The 24,285-nt window shown below is 37.1% G+C and overlaps 1 protein-coding gene across 2 annotated transcripts in view; it reads left to right on the top strand.

Annotated features, from left to right (window-relative positions):
* Positions 1-24,285, top strand: part of RELN (reelin) — a 517,870-nt gene that overhangs the window by 141,906 nt on the left and 351,679 nt on the right. For both annotated transcript variants that reach the window (NM_173054.3, NM_005045.4), the window contains exon 3: positions 14,081-14,216. In NM_173054.3, coding sequence (NP_774959.1) covers positions 14,081-14,216 — 136 coding nt within the window. The remainder of the gene's footprint in view (positions 1-14,080; positions 14,217-24,285) is intronic.

Here is a 24,285-nt window from a genome sequence, read left to right as displayed (position 1 = left end):
CCATGTAGGAGAGTAAAAAGAGCCTCAACAAGGCTTTCTTTAAAACAAAACCAAAATAAACTATCACCAGGTCCTAAAAGCTACCTCCAATATTCTCAAGCCTGTCTCTTCTCCTCTCTTCTCTCTGCCAAAGAAATGCCAAGTTTGACCTATCTGTCAGTTACATGATATTATATCATTTTTTGTTATTATACTTTAAGTTATGGGGTACATGTGCAGGACATGCAGGTTTGTTACATAGGTGTACACATGCATTGGTGGTTTGCTGCACCCATCAACCCATCATCTACATTAGGTATTTCTCCTAGTGCTATCCCTCCTCTAGCCCCCCACCCTCTGGCAGGCCCTGGTGTGTGATGTTTCCCTCCCTGTGTCCGTGTGTTCTCATTGTTCAACTCCCACTTATGAGTGAGAACATGCGGTGCTTGGTTTCCTGTTCTTGTGTTAGTTTGCTGAGAATGATGGTTTCCAGCTTCATCCATGTCCCTGCAAAGGACATGAACTCATCCTTTTATGGCTGCATAGTATTCCAGGTGTATATGTGCCACATTTTCTTTATCCAGTCTATCATTGATGAGCATTTGGGTTGGTTCCGAGGCTTTGCTATTGTGAACAGTGCCGCAATAAACATACATGCGCATGTGTCTTTATAGTGGAATGATTTATAACCCTTTGGGTATATACCCAGTGATGGGATTGCTGAGTCAAATGGTATTTCTGTTTCTAGATCCTTGAGGAGTCGCCACACTGTCTTCCACAATGGTTGAACTAATTTACACTCCCACCAACAGTAAAAGCATTCCTATTTCTCCACATCCTCTCCAGCATCTGTTGTTTCCTGCTTCTTTAATGATCGCCGTTCTAACTGGCATGAGATGGCATCGCACTGTGGCTTTGATTTGCATTTCTGTAATGACCAGTGATGATGAGCTTTTTTATTTATATTTGTTGACCACATGAATTTTGAGAAGTGTCTGTTCATATCCTTCACCCACTTGTTGATGGGGTTGTTTGTCTTATTCTTGTAAATTTGTTTAAGTTCCTTGTAGATTCTGGATATTAGCCCTTTGTCAGATGGATAGATTGCAAAAATTTTCTCACACTTTGTAGGTTGTCTGTTCACTCTGATGATAGTTTCTTTTGCTGTGCAGAAGCTCTTTAGTTTTATTAGATCCCATTTGTCAATTTTGGCTTTTGTTGCCGTTGCTTTTGGTGTTTTAGTCATGAAGTCTTTGCCCACGCCTATGTCCTGAATGGTATTGCCAAAGTTTTCTTCTAGGATTTTTATGGTTTTAGGTCTTACATTTAAGTTTTTAATCCATCTTGAGTTAATTTTTGTATAAAGTGTAAGGAAGGGGTCCAGTTTCAGTTTTCTGCGTATGGCTAGCCAGTTTTCCCAACATCATTTATTAAGTAGGGAATCATTTCCCCATTGTTTCTGTCAGGTTTGTCAAAGATCAGGTGGTTGTAGATGTGTGGCATTATTTCTGAGGCCTCTGCTGTGTTCCATTGGTCTGTATATCTGTTTTCATACCAGTACCATGCTGTTTTTGTTACCGTAGCCTTGTAGTATAGTTTGAAGTCAGGTAGCATGATGCCTCCAGCTTCATTCTTTTTGCTTAGGATTGTCTTGGCTATATGGGCTCTTTTTTTGTTCCATATGAAATTTAAAATAGTTTCTTTCTAATTCTGTGGAGAAAGTCAATGGCAGCTCAATGGGAATAGATTTGAATCTATAAATTACTTTGAGCAGTATGGCCATTTCCACAATATTGAATCTTTCCTATCCATGAGCATGGAATGTTTGGGCAGTGTGGCTATTTTCACGATATTGATTCTTTCTATCCATGAGCGTGGAATGTTTTTCCATTTGTTTGTGTCCTCTCTTATTTTCTTGAGCAGTCGTTTCTTGAGTAGTTCTCCTTGAAGAGGTCCTTCACGTCCCTTGTAAGTTGTATTCCTAGGCATTTTATTCTCTTTGTGGCAATTGTGAATGAGAGTTTACTCCGATTTGGCTGTTTGCCTATTATTGGTATACAGGAATGCTTGTGATTTTTGCACATTGATTTTGTATCCTGAGACTTTAATGATATTACATCATTAAAAAAATTACATGGGGAAAATTAGGAGAATGTCTAAAAAGGCTTTTTAGATGGATGATGTTGAAAAATAGATTGAGAACACTGTCATGAACTAAATGGGTGACAGATCACTTTACAGATATGACAGCAGCCAGTATGGGCTACAGTGGTCAACCACAATGTTGAGAGTGGGTCGGGTGCCTTGGCTCGTGCCTGTAATCCCAGCACTTTGGGAGGCCAAGGTGGGTGTATCACTTGAGGTTAGGAGTTCGAGACCCACCTGGCCAACATGGCAAATGCTGTCTTTTCTAAAAATACAAAAATTAGCCAGGCGTGGTGACGCATGCCTATATTTCAGGTGACTGAGGCCTGAGAATCACTTGAACCCAGGAAGCAGAGGTTGCAGTGAGCCAAGATTGTACCACTGCACTCCAGCCTGGGTGACTCAATCTCAACAACAACAATAAAAAAAAGAGGATGAGAGTGAAGACCATGGGAACATTAATTTTAGCAAAAAAAAAAAAATTTTTTTTTGATAAAACGGTTCTACCTGGAGCTGTTTCTATATGGCAGCAATCACAGGTTATTTAGACAAAACATTGCTATGGATAATTCTTTTAGTTTAGCCAGTCTGGATGTACAGTTAAAATAATCAGATCCTGTTTCTACATGCAGAGCGTTTCTGGAGTTAGACAAGGGTTATCATTGCCTCTTGTTCCTTACTTTGGCTGGGGTTTCATGCTCAGCATGAGTGATCTCCAGCTCATTTACCTATTTAAATGGACACTTTATTTGAGTGCAGTAGAAACAGAGGGGACTGAGATATATTCTTTAATTCTGCAAATAAAATTTCAACATTTAATGAACATTATCCTAATCACTTTACATGAAATTTAGCATTTAATCCTCACAATATGAATTGTTTTACTTAATCATTCCCACAGTTCTATTGAGTAGATCTTATTATCTATCTATAACAAAATAATGATCCTGGGACTTAGAGAGTTTAAGTAACTTGTTCAAGATCACACCACTAAAAATTGACAGGGCTGAATCCCATGTGACTAGTAGTCACTGAAGTCACTAGTGATATGGACAACTTACTTAACCCCTTTAAACTTGTATAAAATAGGAATAATAATAACACTTCTTAGGGTTTTTAATGAAAAAATGTGTTAATCTTTGTAAAACACTCAGAACTTTGCCTGCATCATTAAATACTCAGCAAATGTTAGCTGTTATTAGTTTGTCCAGAATCTTCTCTCTTTCTCTCTTTTTTGAGCATTAGGGTAGGCAGAAGTCTGAATCATGGTGCTGAGTAGTAATTTTGATATTGTAGTAAACTTCCCAGATAGGTCAACTGGGCATTTCTTTGGCATTGAGGAGAGAGAGAAAAGACAGGCTTGAGAATATTGGAGGTAGCTTTTAGGACCTGGTGATAGTTTTATTTTGGTTTTGTTTTAAAGAAAGCTTTGTTGAGACTCTTTTTAGTCTCCTACATGGCTTGGATTTGTATCTGTAAAGCCTCTTCCTTTTTGATTTTCTGTGGCCTGCATATGTGTAAAATCTGACTCCTAAACTGGAAGTTGGGTTGTGAATTAAACACACAAGAGAGCAGGTCACAGGAGCAGGCACCAGGTGGTGAGGCAGAATATATTTCTGGACAGGTAGCCAGCATGTTGCCGTTAGTTTGAGGAGAGGCTGGGGGCAGGCAGTGCGAAGTGATTATCTACCACCATGCAGCTGTTAAGCAGGGAGGGAGAGTATGCAGTGTTAGGAGAGAAGGCAGCAGAGATAAGCTTTGGGCCAGCAGATCAGAGAGCTTCCATTACAGACAGGCAGGGCAGAGTCTGCACAGCTCTTTGAAAAGGATGCTGTATTGTCAAACTCAGTGGTCACACAGACCCAAGTATAACTGGATGGCTTTGCCCCTTGGGAGAACAGCATTTGACTTAGAAATGTCTCACTCATATCTGTATCTAACTCAGAGATGTGTCTACCAAGAGGACAAAGGGTATATAATAACTGATGAAAAATTTAGGCATTTGGAGAAAAAGACAGAGAGCCTAAGCTTGTGCCTTATAGGAAGGGCTCTCTTCCTGTTTATTCTCAGATGGTTTGCATTCTATAACTGGATTTGGACAGGGTTTCTATTGGATCAGGACACATGTCTTCCCAGAACTAATGTACTACTATTTAGGGATGTGGGGAGGAAGCCAGCAGACAATGTAGTGGAACCTGTGTTCAGATGCCACTCACTAGTCCTATTATCCTTGGCAAGTCACTTAAATCTACTGAGTCTTACTGGGCGTAGTGGTGTGTGCCTGTAATTCCAGCTACTCAGGAGGCTGAGGTGGGAGGATTGCTTGAGCCTGGAAAGTTGAGGCTGCAGTGAGCTGTGATCATACCAGTGCACCTGAGCCTAGGTGACAGAGCAAGACCCTGTCTCCTAAAAAAAAAAAATTTCCTGAGTCTTGGTTCCTTTATCTTTAAAATGGGAATGATAATAATAGCCAACATGTACAACACTGTGTGCCGTACACTCACTTACTCTTCACAGCTACCCTATTATTATCATCCTCATTTTCCTGGAAAGGAAACTGAGGAATAGAATGATAGAGTAACCTGCCCAAGATTCCACAACTCCTTGGCAGTGAGCAAGGTTCTAAACATAGGCAGACAGGGTTTCTATGCTGTCAACTTTTCCCCTCTCCTGCCTCTCTAAACGTGGCACAGAGAGGCATTCAGTAAATGGTAGTTCTGGGAGAGGAATGGGGAGGCAGCATCAAGACATCTCATCTTTTAAGTGCACTGAGTAAGGAAAGAATCAAGTTGACTTAGAATTGGCTCTATTTATAGAACTAACTAGAGGTGTGGAAATAGGTAGTTTCTCTTCCATTTCTAACTTAAGTCCATAGATACACAATTCCAGAATGACTTTTAAAAGGTTTTAGTGCTTTTTGGCTTCTTAAACTTAAATCTGAAACCAAATAATCAAATCAGTGCTTTGAAAAGTAAATATACACAGTGTATATGTGCTAGTGTGTGTGCACGTACTATTCAATATCTTGTAGCATTACTCTACTTAAGAGCTATTGTTTTCATACCTATTTTCATCAGGCTGGTACTTCACAGATAAGCTGCAATAAGGGTGTTTTTAGGAAATTCTATGATTACTTTTCAGCATATGAAATCATGTTTGGCTTTGTTGAAATGTCTGAGTACATTGACCTAGGAAAGAAAGAAAATAATAGACAAGCCAAATTCTGTAAGTAGACAGTTATTCATATTTGAATTAACAGATTAAAGAGGGATAAAAAGGAATTCTATAATTCATTTTTTCTTTTTCATTTACAATATAACACTAACTTTCCAAACTACATTTTCAGAACAGTCTGTGTTTTTTTTTTTTATTAACTGATGGAAGCCTTTAGATATCCCTTTTAAAGAAAGAGCAAATGATGAAAAGGAAAGGAAATGGAAATCATCTTAGATATTTGTGCCATTCTTAGCTTACACTTCTTATGTAGACATAAGGTGATAACTTTGCTAAACTTCCTGAAAAAATATCGTACCAAGCTTTGTGAAAGTGTTTGAAATAATAAAATATTTCTTTTACAATTGTATCATTTTTATATATGGGGTTATATTTTTCACATAAAAAAATCATAATTTTAATGTACTTGCCCTTTGTTTGGTAATACCCTATCCACAGATGTCTTAGTTCTTGAAACCCATGAAAAATAGACCAAGGCTTGTTGAACCCACTTTAACACTAACCATGGCAAATTATAAACTAAAGAGATTTGAGTAATCCACATCTTTCATCTATGAAATATAGAATTGACCCAACATGAATGTGTAATGTTATCAATAGGTGGGTTATTTTTGGTAATAAAATATTCATTGTGTTTCTTGGAAGCGAGTAGCCTACATTTTTATGAACATATGTACATTTTCTTGTAGAGATGGGGGATCATAGAACTTCTAGTTACCGTTTTGAAGACTCAAAGAGTGCACATTAAAAGCACAGAAAAGTATTCCTGGGGGAAAACGGGGTTCACACAAGGTTTAGTCACAAACTTAAAATAACTGAGGACTTGTCAAGGAAAATGACATCCTGGAAGGAACAGAAATGTATGTCACTGTCTTAAAAGAGAGTGTGGGGGCAACTTTAAACTAATTAAAGACATTGTGAGTCAAATCTTGCTGAAGTATAATGTGGATAAAGGAAACTCTGCTATTGATTCCTATCCTTCAACCACAACTTTGACAAAGAAGACAAATATTTGATATTTGTTGTCTAGATACCCAAGGTTTGTATGACAATGATTTTAAAACATCCATACTTTATTAAAGGAATCATGGCTTTACAGAGTGATATTGATTGTTGGTACAGAAATTACAGCAAAGTTATGATTCTTTTTTAAGATGTTTGTACACAATATGCAAAAGAAAAACATTTTGTAACAATGGATGCTTTAAAGTCTTACTCAAAAAAGTTGTCAACTTTATAGAACTTTGGAGTTTGAAGGATAAACTCCACTTTCTTTGCCCAAAGCTACATCAGGAGAGCCACATTTGACTTGTTTATTTTCTCTCAATTCTCTTGAAAAAGTATAGCCTCTTTCTCTGGAGAAGAAATTTCATATGAACATTTTTTGCATAAGTTTACATATAACCAAAACAATGAAAATAAAATCATTATTATAAGTACACCATACACACATATACATTATATGTACATATCTCTTTGAGAAAAAGCATAGTTAAATTATTGTTTTATGGATCCTGTTTTCCCTTTTCCAAATAATATTAAAAATTCAATATGGATCCTATTATTCAGCATGCAGCAGGGAAAGCAGAATGTAAATTTAAATTTATTATGAAATTCAAAATTTTAATTATCCCCAGAATGGTTTCCAACTTACATATATTAATTAGGTGGTATATCTCTTTCATGGTACAAAAGGCATTAAAAAGATCACCATGGTGGATGCAGTAAATTGCATTTCATAGAACATGAGAAGCTGATTCTGAGTTCTCTCATTCTCCTAGTTCTCAGTTTATATACGCACCCTTGCTCATTATGTCTGCCTTTGTGTCATGTTCTCCCATTTTTCTTGTATTCATTTAAATAGTACTCATAGATTACAATGAGGAGCCCCAAAAGAAAGGAGTCTTAGTGATCATGACCAGCATTTTAGAGATGTCAGAATGAAGCTTGAGAGGGGGTGTCCTGACAGAGGTCATACAGTAGTGTGTAACAGAACTGAGGGAACCATCTCTGGATTATGCTCTACTGCTTTGTGTAAATAAAAACAAATACGGAAAATCTTAGCTTTTTCTTTAAGACCCAGTTCCAGTCTCACACTCCGATAGGAGCCATTTCTGACTAAGGGCACTGACTGGAATCCAGGCTACTTCGTACACTTGCTGAATGAACGTAAACCGATTCTTTTATCTCCATGTATTGGTCCATTCTGACACTGCTATAAAGAACTACCTGAGACTAGGTAATTTATAAAGAAAATAGGTTTAATTGGCTCATGGTTCTACAAGCTGTGCAGGCTTCTCCTGGGGAGGCCTTGGGAAACTTACAATCATGGTGGATGGTGAAGGGGAAGCAAGTATGTTTTCATATGGCCGGAGAGAGAGAAAGAGAAGTGTTACACACTTTCAAACAACCAGATCTCGTGAGAACTCACGATCACGAGAACAGCAAGAGGGAAATCCACCTCTATGATACAGTCACCTCCCACCAGGTTTGTCCCCCAACACTGGGAATTATAATTCAGCATGACATTTGGGTGGGGACATAGTATCAAACCATATCACTCTATTTTCTCAGTGTCTTAATTAGTAAAATGAAGAACGTAACACTCCTACTTCATAGGGTTGTGAAGGGCCTTAAATAAGTTAATATTTATGAAGCACTTAGAGTAGTGCCAGGTCATAGTAAGTGCCTAATAAGCATTAGTTGTGATTATTATAATTGTCCTTATTAATAACTTTTCACTCTTATATTGTATTTTTTATCAGTACCACCCAAGTAGCACTTACTTCTTTTCTAGCTGCTTTATTTAAGATGTTAGTTTATTCCAGTTTTCTCTTCCCAGCTCAAGTCATATCAGGGCAAGGACTATGTTCTCTATTTCTTTTATATACCTCCGTAGAGCCTAACACAGTGTCTGTTGCAAAACAGGAATTCTGTAAATAATTTTCTTCTTGCTGGTTGATTTTAGATCAATGGATTTCTAATAGTTGCAACTCTAGATGATGTTTACATGTTCTCAAAGAAAATGCCAATTACAATGTGTAGCAGTATAATATGCCAGTGTTCTATGTTAAAAAAAAAAAAAAAAAAAGCAAAGACCACTGTATAGTCATAGTGTTTGAAGTTGCATAGAAAGGTCCAGAGAATACATGTTTGGGATGGTTTTAGGATTAGTGAGTGAGAGGATAGGTTATTTTGTGTTACTACCAGAGACATTATGTAAGATACTGTTGGCTTTCTTCAAACTGTACATTGACACCATAATGATATGAATAGTGTTACTCTAAGCCCTGAATTTTACACATTTTACTAAGGCACATTTCTAATGCAAATTATTGGCTAGACATTAGAATTGCTTGGTGAGCTTTACAAAATCTCAATACCCATACCATACTTCAAAACAGTTAACTCAGAATCTCTGGGTAACAGTATTTATTAAATCTCCTGGTGCCACTGGGCAGCCAACTGGGAGAACTATGCTAGAATGTTAGATTGCAAGAATATTGTTCTATGGCATATTCACCCAAGGTAGGACGTTAAGGTAGCAACTTATAAAATTGTCAAGTAATATGTGGCCTAGACATTGACTCATTTTTGAAGAGGGGTTTTGAGGAATCAGGAGGCATTTGACCATGATTCCTGTTATTAAGGCTCTATAACGCTGAAACCTTATTTTGCTTGATTTGTTTCCCTTCCCACAGGACTGTGGCTAGGACTTTGTTTTCCTTTTTGGCCAGGCAGACTCCTGCAGACTTGTCATTTTCCATACACCTGATCCCTGCTTTATGCCTGACCAGAGGGGAGTGGCAGCTCCTGAGTCACGCTATTGAGTCTCCTTGGGCACTCTGTGATTTTCCTGGGACTCTCTTATTCTCCCCAACCTTGTGATTTCTCTGGCTTGATGATTTTTGTCTCAGTATTCAGCTTAAAAATGTAGAGTCTTGCATGGGAAAAAGAACACCATTTGGATATGTCAAAACATAGATTTGTTTTTCTATATTTTAGACCAGTTATGACCTATTCTGAACAACTTTATACTGTGGAATATTCTATTGTATTTAGTTAATGTGAAATATGTGTTATAATTTCTGTTTTTTTTCCAGTCCTGCTCCTGAATAAATAATTTGTATTATAAGTTGTATTTATTCAGAAATTACTTCTTTTTTTTTTTTTTTTTTTTTTTTTTGAGACGAAGTCTCGCTCTGTCGCCCAGGCTGGAGTGCAGTGGCGTGATCTCGGCTCACTGCAAGCTCCGCCTCCCAGGTTCACGCCATTCTCCTGCTTCAGCCTCCCAAGTAGCTGGGACTACAGGCGCCCACCACCACACCCAGCTAATTTTTTTTGTATTTTTAGTAGAGACGGTGTTTCGCCGTGTTACCCAGGATGGTCTGGATCTCCTTACCTCATGATCCACCCACCTCGGCCTCCCAAAGTGCTGGGATTACAGACATGAGCCACCACGCCTGGCCCTTCTTTTCTTTTTTACAGTCTTTACCGTTTCTATGTATTCAGAAAATATTTCTTGAGAATCTGTGATATGTCAGACACTGTGGCAGGCACTTGGGATATAAAGATTAAAAGCGGTGTCCCACATGGACAACTTGGGGAGATGGTCAAGTGCTGAGGTAAAGGGATGTATGAACTGCTCTGATGCCACAGAGGGAGGACATCTGTCCAAACATGGGGCAGGGGCAGTGAGTGGGCAGCGAGTGGGCAGTGAGAGAGGGAGGGGCAGTGAGGGAAGTCTTTGAGGACTGGGCCATGTCTGATTGTATCATTAGGCCTAGCATAGTAAGTGATTTCTCTCAATGTTTGGTGTTAGACAGAGACTACATTGAGCCTTGCCTTGAAGAGCACATAGAAGTTAGCCTAGTAGAGAAGAAGGATGGGTGGGAGGAGAGCAAAAGTCTGGGGCCTGCTGTATTGAAAGCAGAGCATGTGCTTAGAGGTGAGAGTGAGGGTGGCTCAGCCACTAGTGCTTGAGAGTGATGGCATTGCTGGTTCACAAAGGATGGTAAATGTGTACAGGGAGAGCAAGTAGGGGTCAGATTTTCCCAAACCTTCTAACTGATGCTAAGAAGTTTGTATTTCTCTAGAATCTGATGGGAGCCATGTAAGTAGATTTCACAGGGATTGACATGATCATGTATGCCTTTTAGAGAAATCATTTTGATGGAACATGGGAGTGAGACAGGACAGAGAGACCTGTGAAGAGTAATCCTGATATGCCAGGGGAAGAATGATGGGAACCTAGGACCATTTAGGGAAAAAAGTCGAATCCTTTCTTTGTACCACACAACAAAATAACATTCAGAAACATTAAAGATGTCAATGTGAAAATAAAATAGTAGAAAGAAAACATAGGAGAATATTTTTTAAATCTTGGGGATTGAGGAGTCCTTTCAAAGGAAAGCAAGAGACCAAAGGCCAAAATATAACAAAAATGAATGTTTGACTATGTGTAAGGTACTAGATGCTAGAGGAATGTGGATTAGTAGACCTGCTTTGTGCTTTTAAGGAGCTTAAGAAGTAAAGAAAGTTAAGAAGCAGAATATTCCAAATGCCTTGGGCTAAGTGCTGTGTTGGAATTAAGTAAAAGATTCAGTGGGGACCCATAGGAGTAGCTACCTGGGTTTGCTTGGAAGTGGACAGGAGAGGCTTGAAAAAGCAGAAAGTGAGCCAAATCTTCATGTAGGATCTGTCAGGTGGTTGAGAGCAGTTGAGGAGAGAGAGCATTTTAGGTAGAGGGTACAGCTTGCAGGAAGATAGAGGAGGGTTCATTTGGCATTTTGGGTGTGCAGAGTGCAAGAAGGTGGGCAAGACATGGGGGCAAGAAGTGCTGAAACTGAGGTTGGAGAAGGCAGTGAGAGGCAAATTCAGAGTCTTAACTATTCAGAGTCTTCTTGAAGGCCGGTGACATCAATAGAGCTTTCTATGATGATGGACATGTTCTGTTCTGTGCTGTCCAGTGTGGCAGCCATGAGCCACATGTGCTATTGAGCATGTGGAATGTGGCTAGTGCAATTGAAGAACTGAATTTTTAATTGTATCAAATTTTAATTAATTTAAATTTAAATAATTGCTGTGGCTAGCAGCTACCATATTAGACAGTGCAGCTACAAACAATATGAGGTAGGCCGGGTGCGGTGGCTGACGCCTGTAAACCTGGCATTTTGGGAGGCCAAGGTGGGTGGATCACTTGTGGTCCAAAACCAGCCTGGCCAACATGGTGAAACCCCATCTCTACTAAAAATACAAAAAAAAATTAGCTGGCTGTGGTGGCAGGCACCTGTAATCCCAGCTACTCGGGAGGCTGAGGCAGGAGAAACACTTGAACCCAAGCGGTGGAGATTGCAGGTTGCAGTAAGCCAAGGTTGCACCATTGCGCTCTAGCCTGGGTGACGGAGTGAGACTCCGCCTATAAAAAAAAAAAAAAAAAAGGGTAATTGAGAGTTTTGTAAAGAGAAATATTAACAGTGTGAACAAGTTTATATTTTAGAAAGATCACTCTGGTGGGCAGGAAGAAAATCAAGATTTATGAGAGACCACTGCTTCCAGATAGGGTACTAGGTGCTGTCATATGTATTGGGCCATTTACTACTTATAGCAACTTTAAGGTATAGAAGGCATGGTATTTCCATTTTACAGGCAAGAAAACTGGATCTCAAAGAGAGTAAATCATTTGTCCAAGGTCACAAAGCCAGTAAATGAGAGAAATTTAAAATTTAACTTCCCATTTCTGGCAATGCTTTTAGTAATTTTTTAAATAATAAACTTATTTTTTAGAGAAGCTTTAGGTTCACAGCAAAATTGAATAAAAAGCACAGAGTTGCCATACACCCACTATCCCTACACACAATAAAACCTCCCCTACCGTCAACATCCTGCCTCAGAATGTGGTACATTTGGTACAATCAATGAACCTACATCGACACATCATTACTGCTCAAAGTCCATAGTTAACAGTAGGGTTCACTCTTGGTGTGTACATTCTATGTGTTTGGATACATTTATAAGGACACATATCCACCATACGGTATCATACAGAGTAGTTTCGTTCCCTTAAGAATCCTCTGTGCCCTTTCTGTTCATCCTACCTCCCTCTTTAACTCCTGGCAACTCCTGATCTTTTTAATGTCTCCATAGTTTTACCTTTTCCAGAATGTGATACAGTTGGAATTATACACTATGTAGCCTTTTCAGATTAGATTCTTTCACTTGGTAATACGCATATTAAGTTTCCTTTATGTCTTTGCATGTCTTCATAGATCATTTCTTTTTAGTGCTGAATAACATTCCATTGTCTAGATGTACCACATTATCCATTCACCAACTGAAGGACATCTTGGTTGCTTCCAACTTTTGGCAATTATGAATAAAGCTGCTGAAAACACCCCTGTACAGGTTTTTGTCAGGCATATATTTTCAGTTCACTTGGATAAGTACCAAGAAGTACAACTGCTACATCATATGGTAAAAATATGTCTAGTTTTGTAAAAATACTGCCAAACTGTCTTCCAAAGAGGCTGTACCATTTTGCATTCCCACCAGCAATGAATGAGAGTTTCTTTTGCTCTGCATCCTCAGCAGCATTTGGTGGTATCAGTATTCCGGATTTGGGACATTCTAATATGTGTGTAGTGGTATCTCATTATTGTTTCAATGTGCAGTTCCCTAATGACATATGATCCTGAATATCTTTTCATATGATTATTTGTCATCCGTGTATCATTTTTGGTGAGGTATCTGTTTAGGTCTTTTGGCCATTTGTTAATTAGGTTGTTTGTTTTTTAGTTGTTGAGTTATTTATTACTATTTTATATCTGAGATACACCTAAGATAATCACCTTATTAGAAAAAGAAAAGCATCCCCTGATAGCTCAGCTTGGAGCTGACCTGTTCACAGCTAGGCCATGATGTTCTCATTTTGAACATGAGCAAGTCACAGAACATCAACATTAGACAAGACCACTTTACAACTGTGATGTTATGAGGCAAAAACAAGACCACTCTTTAACATAGCTGAACACAGACAAGACTAAGAACATGAAGCAAACCACGAAAGTGACCAACATCCCCATCCATGCAAATAGGACTGCTGTTGCTTTTCTGCCAATCACAGATTTAGCCTCACCCCATCCCTCATGTCTCTGAGATTAAAACAGCAACAACAAACTAAGATACTCAGTGAAAAGACTGGGTGATAGCACCCAATCCAGAGGCAAAGGACCTTTTCTTGAAACCTCCCAAATAGGACTGGGGAGTTTTCCAAGCAAACCTGATCACCTTGCCCTCTGAAATAACCTAACACAAGCCTAAATATTTTAACAAGCCTCTCCTGACATCCTTTTACTGAGATGCCTCCCACCTCCCTATGGCGTTTGGTCTCCCTTGCTGCAGACAGTTTCAATAAATCTAACCTTGTTCAACTGCAGGTTGGTCCTGGTGGTTTTTGGTGATAGGCAAAGATCAATCAATCAACAAAATCAAAGCAAAGCAAATATTATAGCAATGATTCCAGCAGGTCACTCCTTTAACCATAATATTTTAAGTGATTAATTTCCCTGTAGCAATAAAAAGTGAAAAATTACATAACTTATTGGGAAGCCAAATAGCATAGAACCTTAACATGAAAGAAAAATATTCAGAAAATACTGTGATGCCATGATAGGAAGATCTTTGTTTTGTTGTCTTTGTAACAACTCTCCTTCCTTTCTCTTAGGGATCATGTCTGACCACCAGTTTGGTAACCAGTTTATGTGCAGTGTGGTAGCCTCTCACGTGAGTCACCTGCCCACAACCAACCTCAGTTTCATCTGGATTGCTCCACCTGCGGGCACAGGCTGTGTGAATTTCATGTAAGTACCCAAAGTGTCTGCCATACGTACAGAAGGCAAATACTTAGGACTTCTCATGGGATTACATATAGAGTAACTATTTAAGTGTTTTATTTTGACAGGTTTAACCCTAATTAAAATCACTAATTTTGTTGCCAAAAAAGGTAAAAACTTTTTTAAAAAGTAAATTTAGCAGTTTATTTTTGCATAGTTATATGTACCTCCAAAGGTCTAAATTGGATTTTAGCTGACAAAAATACAGAATAAAATAAAAGTAAGTGAATTGGTGGGACAGGAGGGTAGGGGACGTGGGGAACAGGGAGAAATTTTTTAAAGGGTACCAAGTGTCAGTTAGGAGAAGTAAATTTGGAAATCTGCACAGCATGGTGACTATAGTTAATGTATTGCATATCTCAAAATTGCTAAAAGAGATTTTAAACATTCACATCACAAAAAAAGACATATGATGTAATGGATAGGTTAATTTGCTTGATTTAATCATCCCAAATGTAAACATATATGAAAATATCACATTGTGCTCCATAAATATATGCAATAAGTGTTATCAATTTTTAAAAGACAAAAATAATTGAATAAATCAGAGCAATTGGAAAATGAATGTTCAGAAAATATGGTGAAGACGGGTTACAAAATGCTATAAGGCCTTATCTACCTTTTGGAAGAAGACCACAGATTTAGCTTTGAGCTTTCTGGCCATTAGTGCCAAGCAGAAAATGGGATCATTTAGGAAATTCCTGGTGGCCAGAAGTCAGGTACTCTGTAGAAACTAACAACTCTCCCAGGTGCTTTCATTCAGAGGAAACTAGAGGATGTTCTGAACAGTGTTCTCAAGAGCATCCTTAGATAAACACTACACTATGGTTCCAAGGCTGTGACTGTAACATCTGTTGATGTGGACTATACCCCTAACCCCTACCCCTCATTCACCCTGCAGTCACCATGCCTCATCCTTCTTATTCAGGGGTCCTTTTTCCACCCATAGCATTTTTAAACTTCGAATGCGTGATATCCTTCACTTATTTAGCTACAAACATTGTTTCTCATTTGTCACTTCCTACTAAAATGCAAGAGCCTTGAAGGCAAGAATTGTTTTTCAGTTTTTCGTTGTTTTTTTTGTGTTTTTGTTTTTTCTTCACTGATTTGTCCCAACTGTCTAGAACTGTCCCTGGCATACAGTCAGCCCTCACTAAATATTTGTCGAATAGATGAATAATCCAATGGTGTAAAGTCAAAGGCAGTTCAGAAACAGCTGTTCTATAGGCAGTCAAGCAAAACAGAGCTGGAAGGCATCTTGAATGGTTTTCTATTCAGACTTTCTGCTCAGACAAAATCCCGTAAAACCTGTGTACTCTAAAATTTACCACTGCCTTTTCTTCCCTCTTGATGACAAACAGTTCAGTGTCTGGGGTTTCTATGGGTCAGACATCACTAAAATATATACTCTTTCTGCCTATCCTCTGAGTTACACAAGCTGCCACCATCAGACTCATCTCACATAACTGGTTGATATTTAAACCCATCATTTTCTCCCTCAGAAAGTTTTTTATAAGTGAGTGAACATTTTCCTTCCAGTATGTTTTGCTAAGATGATTGCAGTAGCTTCCTAACTTGTCTGTCAGCTCACCTCTCGCCCGTTTTTCCTTCAGTATATCCTACATATTGTGGTCCAGTTAATCTTCTGAAGGTACAGCCTTGATTACTCAAAATTTGGCTAAGCCTCAAACTCCTTTCTGAAGACCAAACCTTTGATATAGGTTTGAAGGCTCTTCCAATGTCTTTGTTTATTATCTTCTCTGTTATCTCCCTTGGCACGCACCTCCTGATGGAGCCTGAACTGGCAGGCCTTCCCACAATTCCCTTACAGATTCTGTAACTTTCTTTCTCCATGCTTTTTCCTTGGCCTGGAATGCTTTTCAATCTCAACCTCAATTGTTAAAATCTTACCTATTCAAGACCTGTTTTAAATGCCAACTCTTCTGTAAAACTTGCCAAGGTATCAACAACAAAATTGACGCGTATAGTCACATTTTTCTTATAACTCTATTGTAGAGCTGATTATATTTTACTATATACTTATTTGAATTAAGTTATTGTCTTTTCTGTTAGATTGGACAGGGACAAATTCTTATTTCTTTTTGATTCTCCATTAGTTGCTACAGTGTCTTATATGTAAGATGTCAAGGAAAATTCCCCTTGAATTATATGATGTTCAATGTTGTCATTACCTTTAACTTAATAGTGATCACTGACTCTTTTGGTATGCTTTCTCTTATTCATATTGGCACTTGCAAGGATGAATCGAATTCTTGCCATACATAACTTCTTAATTTAAAACAAAAGTTGCTTTTTTGAAAGACAAAACACAAAGTATATCTATATCAGCAATATAGAACTGCCTACTTTCAAACAGATATGTTTTTAATTGAATCTGTTTAAGAATGATATTTGATAGCTTATGATCTCACTACTTTTGAGATATAAAACTCTATTTTCTTCTGAGAAATAACTTAGGTATTTTAAGTCTTAGATTCAAACAGTGTTTTCTTAGCAGTTAGTTGGAAAAATACAGTTTCGTCAGTTTTTATTGACTACAAAAAAGTTTACACATCCTCACCCATATCTCTCAATAAAATTTTGATGCTACTGTTTGCACTTTTTAACATTCTTGACAAATGGTTAAGTCCTTTTTCTCATAAGCCATGATAATGTTGAAACCTTTATAGAGTAGCTGCTTCCTTTGTGGGCAAGACGCTTTTGTTGATCTCTTCCTGCTCAGTTTGTGAGAGAGTACAGGAGAAGTTAAAAGTGAACATGGGCCACTGAAGGAATTCATTTGAAATTTTCTGAACTAAATTCTTGCAATTTTTTACCTTTATTCTTTACGGTAATATTTATTACATATTGAGTAGAGCTATATATAAGAGTTAGTATCTGTAATTAGCAAGCGCCCAGGAATCCTCGAAGAGGATTGCTAATATTCAATGTTAATTTTAAATATTAAACTAAAAAAAAACACAGCTTCTGGCATTTGAGGGTAAATATACCATGGTTCTCTTTTCTGATTAACCTCAAAAAGTAAGGCTTTTACTTTTTAAGGTAAGAAAGATTATTTCTTAGAAATTAAACTTTAGCCATGCTTATATGATTTTGTAGTATATTCTGTATGACTTTTTGATATTACTAGTTAACTCATACCATTATTTAATTTTCCACATGCTTGTTTTCTTTTACTAACTGGATTTTAAGGTCAGGGACAGTGTGTAATATTTTTATATACCTAATAGTTTCTAATGCTGAACTATAGACCAATAGAATGTGCTCAATAAATATTTGTTAGTAGCTAATAATGATATTATATTTTATTGATTGTAAGTTACAGTTTTGTTGATATTTTTTACATTTTTGGCATCTCTGAAGTAGGGTTGTATTTTACATTTGATGGCATCCTACAATTGTAATTGGCAGTGTCTACTTTATTTTTTAACGTCTTACAACTGATGGTGCATTATATTGGAAGAAACCCAGCAGTTAACATTTATCATTTACCATTTACCTGATCTTTCTAAAGCTGGCAATTGAATTGACACTACAGTCAATTCTGTAATCTCATTTTAATACAGCCAATGTATCATGCAAACTCTGTGATTTTTGAAACCCTAGTTACCTATTTAAAATCCTTTTTTAAAAATCCCGTAGTAAGAATTAGGAAGCATTTAAACTGAAATTCAAGATGATTATATAATGTGCTGTGTGTGCCTTTCCCGGTGAAGATTAAGAGGCATGTTGTCTGAATAAACTGTGTTTTATTGGTAAACCACTTAGCCACATAGTCATTTGGGCTGCCTGTGTATGGCCTTTCTTGTTAAAAATAATCAAGTGAGAGACATAGAGGAGAGGATGATTTCAGGATATAGTGATGGCTATACTGGTACAAATGTAGAAAAATGACCAAAATTATTTTATCATTACTTTTATGACACCTCTTGATAAAATTTATATTTTAAGTGTTAATTTTACTTCAAGGTTTGCTGGGTATTCAGATCCTGTGGCAATATGGTTTGTTTTTACTTTTATATCTGATTATAGTCTTCAGTGACTAGTAAGTCTCAAGTTAAAAGAGGCACTTAATTATCCAAATTTCTTGGATATAAATCCCCTACCCCAAAGTCCCAAGGGGCCTGGGGGAAGGGAAAGAAGAAGGAGAAGGAGGAGGAGAGGAGGAAGGAGGGAAAGAGGGAAGGAAAGAAAGAAGAAAGAAAGCCAATCTCCAAACCGTCTAACCCTAAAAATTAGCAAGAAACTACCAGGGAAAGGGGGTTGTAAAATAACAACTACAACATTAATAATATTTTTGAAAATTTACAATGTGCCAGCCACTTTTCTATTTACCTCTTTTAATCCATTTAATTCTCAGTGATTCTGTAAAGTCGGTACTATTATTATCTCAGTTTGCAGATGAGGAAACTGAAGGACAGAGATGTTAAATCACTTGCCTAAGGTAACTCACCTAGTGAGTGACACAGCCTGGATTCAAAGGCAGTCTGGTTTCAAAGCAGATGGTTTTTGCTACTTCACTCCAGTTGCCTTTAAAATGACCACTTGTCTATTTTATCGTGGTAAAATACAATAGTCATACAACGAAAATTAAATAAGAGTTTGCAGTATGGCATCGGAATCTCTCTAACTTTTCAAGGTGGCCCACGTGTGTTTCCTATCTACTTTTGAAATCTATCTCTATATGAATATAGAAATATTATTGAATTCATTCAAATAATGAGAGGTGCCACTTTAAAATTCTGAAATGTGATGAACATGGGTTTGATCTTGATATGTATGATATATGGATATTGATCATATCCTATCCTTCATCACAAGGGGATTTCATGTGGGGAATGTGTGAATTACAGGCAAAATTCATCACAATTAGGTTTAGGTTTAACTGTCTGGACAGAGATACTAGCATAATATTAGGATTAAAATGGAACATAAAAGAAGATCAGGTTTGTGCCTAAATTAGTGATGATTTAATATTATGTGAACTTTCTCAAAACTGAAAACAGAATGAAAACCAAGCAATATTCTATTTAAGATACTGAGCATGGACAAATAATGAACTTAGGTCAGCAAGAAGGATCACTCACAGGAGGATCATATTTGAACATTTGATATGTTAAAGGAAGTATCTCCTAGAGGGATAGTTTTCTTAAAGTACACTAAACGAGAAGGCAAAAAAAATCATTTTAAAAATTGCAGACACTAGCAGTTTCTGAACACCTGCCAGGCTCAAAATAATAATACAGATGCAGAGATTTGAAGTGCTGCCTTGAGTGTATCTCAGATGCCTTTAATTTTTGGTGAGAGCCATTCTAGACTGTCTGGAGAATTCTTCAGAAAATATTGCATGGTTGCCCATTTATTTCCATTCATCAGACGGACACATCACAGATGTATTTGCCTTGTTACTTAAACATTTGAAATAAGATCAGGGATTCCCCCATGGGTGTGTTTATTGGAAGTGCATTCATACCTATGGATAAGGATGCCAACAATGGATGCATACAAATATTCTTTTACTTTCTAGATTATACATAGCTTACTGCAAAAATAAATTACCTCCCATTTAAGTCTGAAATGATTGTACCTATGCTCTGAGATAAAACTGGATATGCTATTTTCTAAAGGAGAAATTTCATCTTTCTTTTAAATCACGTCTTTTTTTTCTTTTCTGACAGTCTAGTTTTCTGTTTTTAAGCAGGCATCTCCCAACTTGAGACAATGTCAGTGCTGCTCAAAAATATACCTCTAGATGACAAGATAAAAGAAATATTGTCTATCCTTAAAGGTAAACAGCTAGGAGCCTAACTGATAGTTCTCACTTCCCCATAAGCCCCTGTTTTTCATCACATTTAAATAGCCAGTTAGGCTTGAACAATGAGAAAGCCTAAGTTCAGGGTCTAATGTGTGTTCTTATATGTATCAGCACTTCAGCAAATGGTCAAATGCTTGAGGTCAGAATGCTTCCTAGGGATTTAGTTTTTAATTTTAGGAAGTATGGTTGAGATAAAATATGTCAATAAATCTCCAAGAAGGCTTGAAGAAGTTATTTTTGTTATATTAATTGTACAACATATCTATTTTAACAGACATTCAATGGGCAAAACTATTCCCTTCATTTTCCCCCCTCTTTTCTCCTTTCCTGTCTCCTCCTCCTTCCAAGAAGTCATGGTATAAACAGCACAGGTTATATTAGGGGACTCTTCTGGAGTCTCCACAGTATGCTGCTTTGCATCAAAATCATAAGACCGTCAGAGAAGTGGAACTGCTTTACTAACATGGGAAAATTTTCTATTCCAGTAACAAAATATTTTTTAACGACAGTCCAAAGATGTACCTGTTTCTATGGAATTTTATGCCGCAGCAAATAGTTGTGTTAGCAGATTTGCTCTTCTTCCTTTTTTTAATCTCTGCTTTTTTATTTTTTAGAGAAAAATGTTAGTTTTATCCTGATGTTGAGTCTAGAAGCAAAAAAAAAAAAAAAAGCTATAGCAAAACAACCTCTTCCTTTCTTTTCATCTCATGTAATGGTGTGAGAACTTATGGAGATCACTCAAGTAAATGGACTGAACTTGGTATCCACAAGGTGTTCCTTATTACAAGGCTTTGTGGTTAAGATGGGATTACTATTGTACTTGGCACTTCTTACTTGAAACCACATAGAACGTTTGTGAAAGCAAAAAGACCAAAGTCAGTAAATCTAAAATATTTATCTGTTATAATTATTAGAAGTTCTTTAAATCTAGTAGAAATTTTTTAAAATGAGGTATGGCCAGAGATTTGGGTTATTTCCCTATCACTAGAATTGATTAAACCAGTTTTAGAAGTGTGAAATTTCGTTTTTCCAAACTGCCTACACAGTCAAAAACAGTGATGACAAAGACGTCTGAGAAACAGGTGAATAAATTTTTTCCATGGCAGCGACAACTCTATGGTTTGCCAGTGTAGTTATTTGGATACAAGCAGCAGCATATTATTAAGCTCTATTTTTAGTAAAGTCTCTGTATATTAAGGCCTTATTAAAAATGTGAAATAAAACTGATTGCTTCTTTCAGATAAAAATTTTTAAAGAACTTATTTTGCCCTCTGTGACCTATTTAGATATGTAAATATGTATGTGTATACACACACACACACACACACACACACACACACACACACATTGTCTTAGTCTGTTTTGTGCTTCTGTAACAGAATACCTGAGACAGGATCATTTATAAACAATAGAAGATTTTTGGCTAATGGTTCTGGAGACTAGGAAGTCCCAGATTAAGGGGCTGCATCTGATGAGGGACTTCTTCCTGTGTCATAACATGGTGGAAGGCATCACATGGCAGAAACTGAGCATACCTGAAAGAAGAAAGGAGCCCATCTCATCCTTTTATCAGGAACCCATCTCATCCTTTTATCAGGAACCCATTCCTGAGGTAACTACTCTACTCCCACAATAATGGCATTTATCCATTCATGAGGGCAGAGCTGTCATGACCTAATCACTTCTTAAAGGTCCTACCTCTCAACACTGTTGCATTGGGAATCATGTTTCCAACACACGAACTTTGAGGTACACATTTAAACCATAGCACACATACAGGCACACACACATACACACATTCTAAAATTTGTTTAGAACCATACTTTCTAACATGGTAGCTATAAGCCATGTGGCTATTTAAGTTTGAATTCATTAAAATTAAATAAAAAATTCAGTTCCTCAGTTGTACCAGCCACATTTTGAGTTCTCAGTAGCCACATATGGCTAATGACTATTTTATTGAACAGCACAAATGTAGAACGTTTCCATTATTACAGAAAGTTCTGTTGTGTAGCACAAGATTCGATAATCTGTTATCATTTCCCCAAATATTACCGTGACATTTACAGAAATTAACCATGCAATTCAAAGGACACATAGAAGGAAGAAAGCAAAACTAAGTTTTTTGCCATTGTTATGTGAACTTGAACCATCATAACTTCTAAACTCACCAAATAAGACAATTTTATGTAAACAGCTGGTTACCTAATTTTTCATTTTAGTTTTATTTGCCAGTGCAGCAGTTTCTATGGTTTTTTATTTTATGGGCAATGGTAGCCAAATATGACAAGTGAGAATTGCCTCTGGTTATCATCCCTTACAGTGCCCAGGACTTAGTGCTGCTCTTTGGCTGCCTTGGGCTAAGGCATTTTCCTCTGTCTGCCCCATGCCTGGATCTCAGTCCCTGCTTTCCCCTTGCTGATCTTCCACTTCCCTGCTACAAGATTTTAGATTCTGCATCTTTTCAAATGTGCCCTTACGCATGAAAACTTACTGTCATGTACCTAATATTAAAAATTAGCTAGTCTGGAAGACTATTAATATGAAAATGAGCATTAATGGAATTTGAAACCCCATTTTATGATAATGATGGTCATAATAGTAATAATAAAGAAATTTTAATTATTGAGTACTGGTGTACCAGGCAGCCTACTAAGTTCCTTTACTCTCCTAGAACCACCTATTATTTGAAGCAAGAGCTTCAAAAACTCGCAAAGACAGGTGTGTTTTGATCCAAAACGTGTTCTTTAAACCACCATCCTATACTACCACTCTATATTTCTTTTAAAAATTAGTATTTATGAAGATAGTATAGCAATGAGAGATGCTTGGAATATTAAGTGACATAAACAAAATATTTGTTTCTGTGGTACAATTTCAGACACATAAAAATATGTTTGTAGAGGATTTCTGGCATCATGGAAGACTGAACTGGCATAGCAGAAATTCTTCCCACTGAAATAAAATAGCAACTCTAGCTAAAATGAAGCAAACACACACACACACACACACACACACACACACACACACACACACACACTCTGTTTTGAAAGAAAGTGAAAACACTGGTTTCCAGAAGAAAGGAGACATATCAAAGCTGGGTCAAGAAATAGGAACTGACATTGTGGTGGCCTGCAGGTCTCTTAAACCTGATTTAGGTCCTAGATCTGGAGTTTTAACCTATATGGGGCCTGGAGCTATTGTCAGGAGCTTCTTAAAAGACAGCAGGAGATAATAAAGGAGACTGAGCTGGAACTGGGCCCACTGATTGAAGCCTGACTGGGAAAACAGCAAAGAAATTTGTCATCTGAGTGGAGCCTTTGGTCAAGATAAGTTACTTGTAAGAAGATAAAACCCTCAGTATATGGAGTCTAGCTTTACATTAGTAATCTGTGCAGAACTCCAAGTGAAGAAATTAACATCTAATTGAAGTTTTAGAAGGAGAGAATAAAAATAATAAGACAAATTTGAAGAGATAATGGCAGAAATTTTTCTAGAACTGAGGAAGATGTGTGTGTTTTCTATCTAAGCAAGATAAATAAAATAAATTAGTACTGATAAAGGTCGTGATAAGCCTTCAGTATATCAACGACAGAAAACATCAAAGGTGACAAAATAGAAAAGACAGATTACCTATAAATTTAATCTGACAGTGGTCTCATCAGCAACAAAAGATGCCAGAAGACAATGGAACAATATCATCAAAGTGAATTGTCATCCTAGAGTTCTGTACCTAGATAAATTATCAGTCAAGTGTGAAAGCAAAACAAGATAAATTTTTTAAAAATGCAGTTTGGTATTTTTACCGCACATGGCCCATGTTAAAGCAAAATTTTAAAGGATGCCCTTCAGTAAAATGAAAACAAACCCAGAAGGAAGGTGTAGGATACAAGAAATTGTGGTATGATACAATAATTAATAGTGAGCAAAGAAATTAGTAAGCACATTAGAAACTCTAAGCATTGAGCATGCAAATAAATTTATGTATAACATATATACCAATAATTATTTTAGGATAGAATTTAAAGGCAACATATAACTAAAATACATGAAGCAACATTAGTGTATAATTTGGAGGGAAAAGGAAATCAGTATTAAAGTTTTCAAATGTCATCAAATTATTTTGCAAGAAGGTTATGGGCTCAGTTGACTGTTAAAAATGTAAATGTAAAGAACAGAAATAAAATTATAACTTCCAAA

This window comes from Homo sapiens, chromosome 7 (genome assembly GCF_000001405.40).
Source record: "Homo sapiens chromosome 7, GRCh38.p14 Primary Assembly".
Taxonomy (NCBI): Eukaryota; Metazoa; Chordata; class Mammalia; order Primates; family Hominidae; genus Homo; species Homo sapiens.
This window is presented reverse-complemented; position numbering and strand designations above follow the sequence as displayed.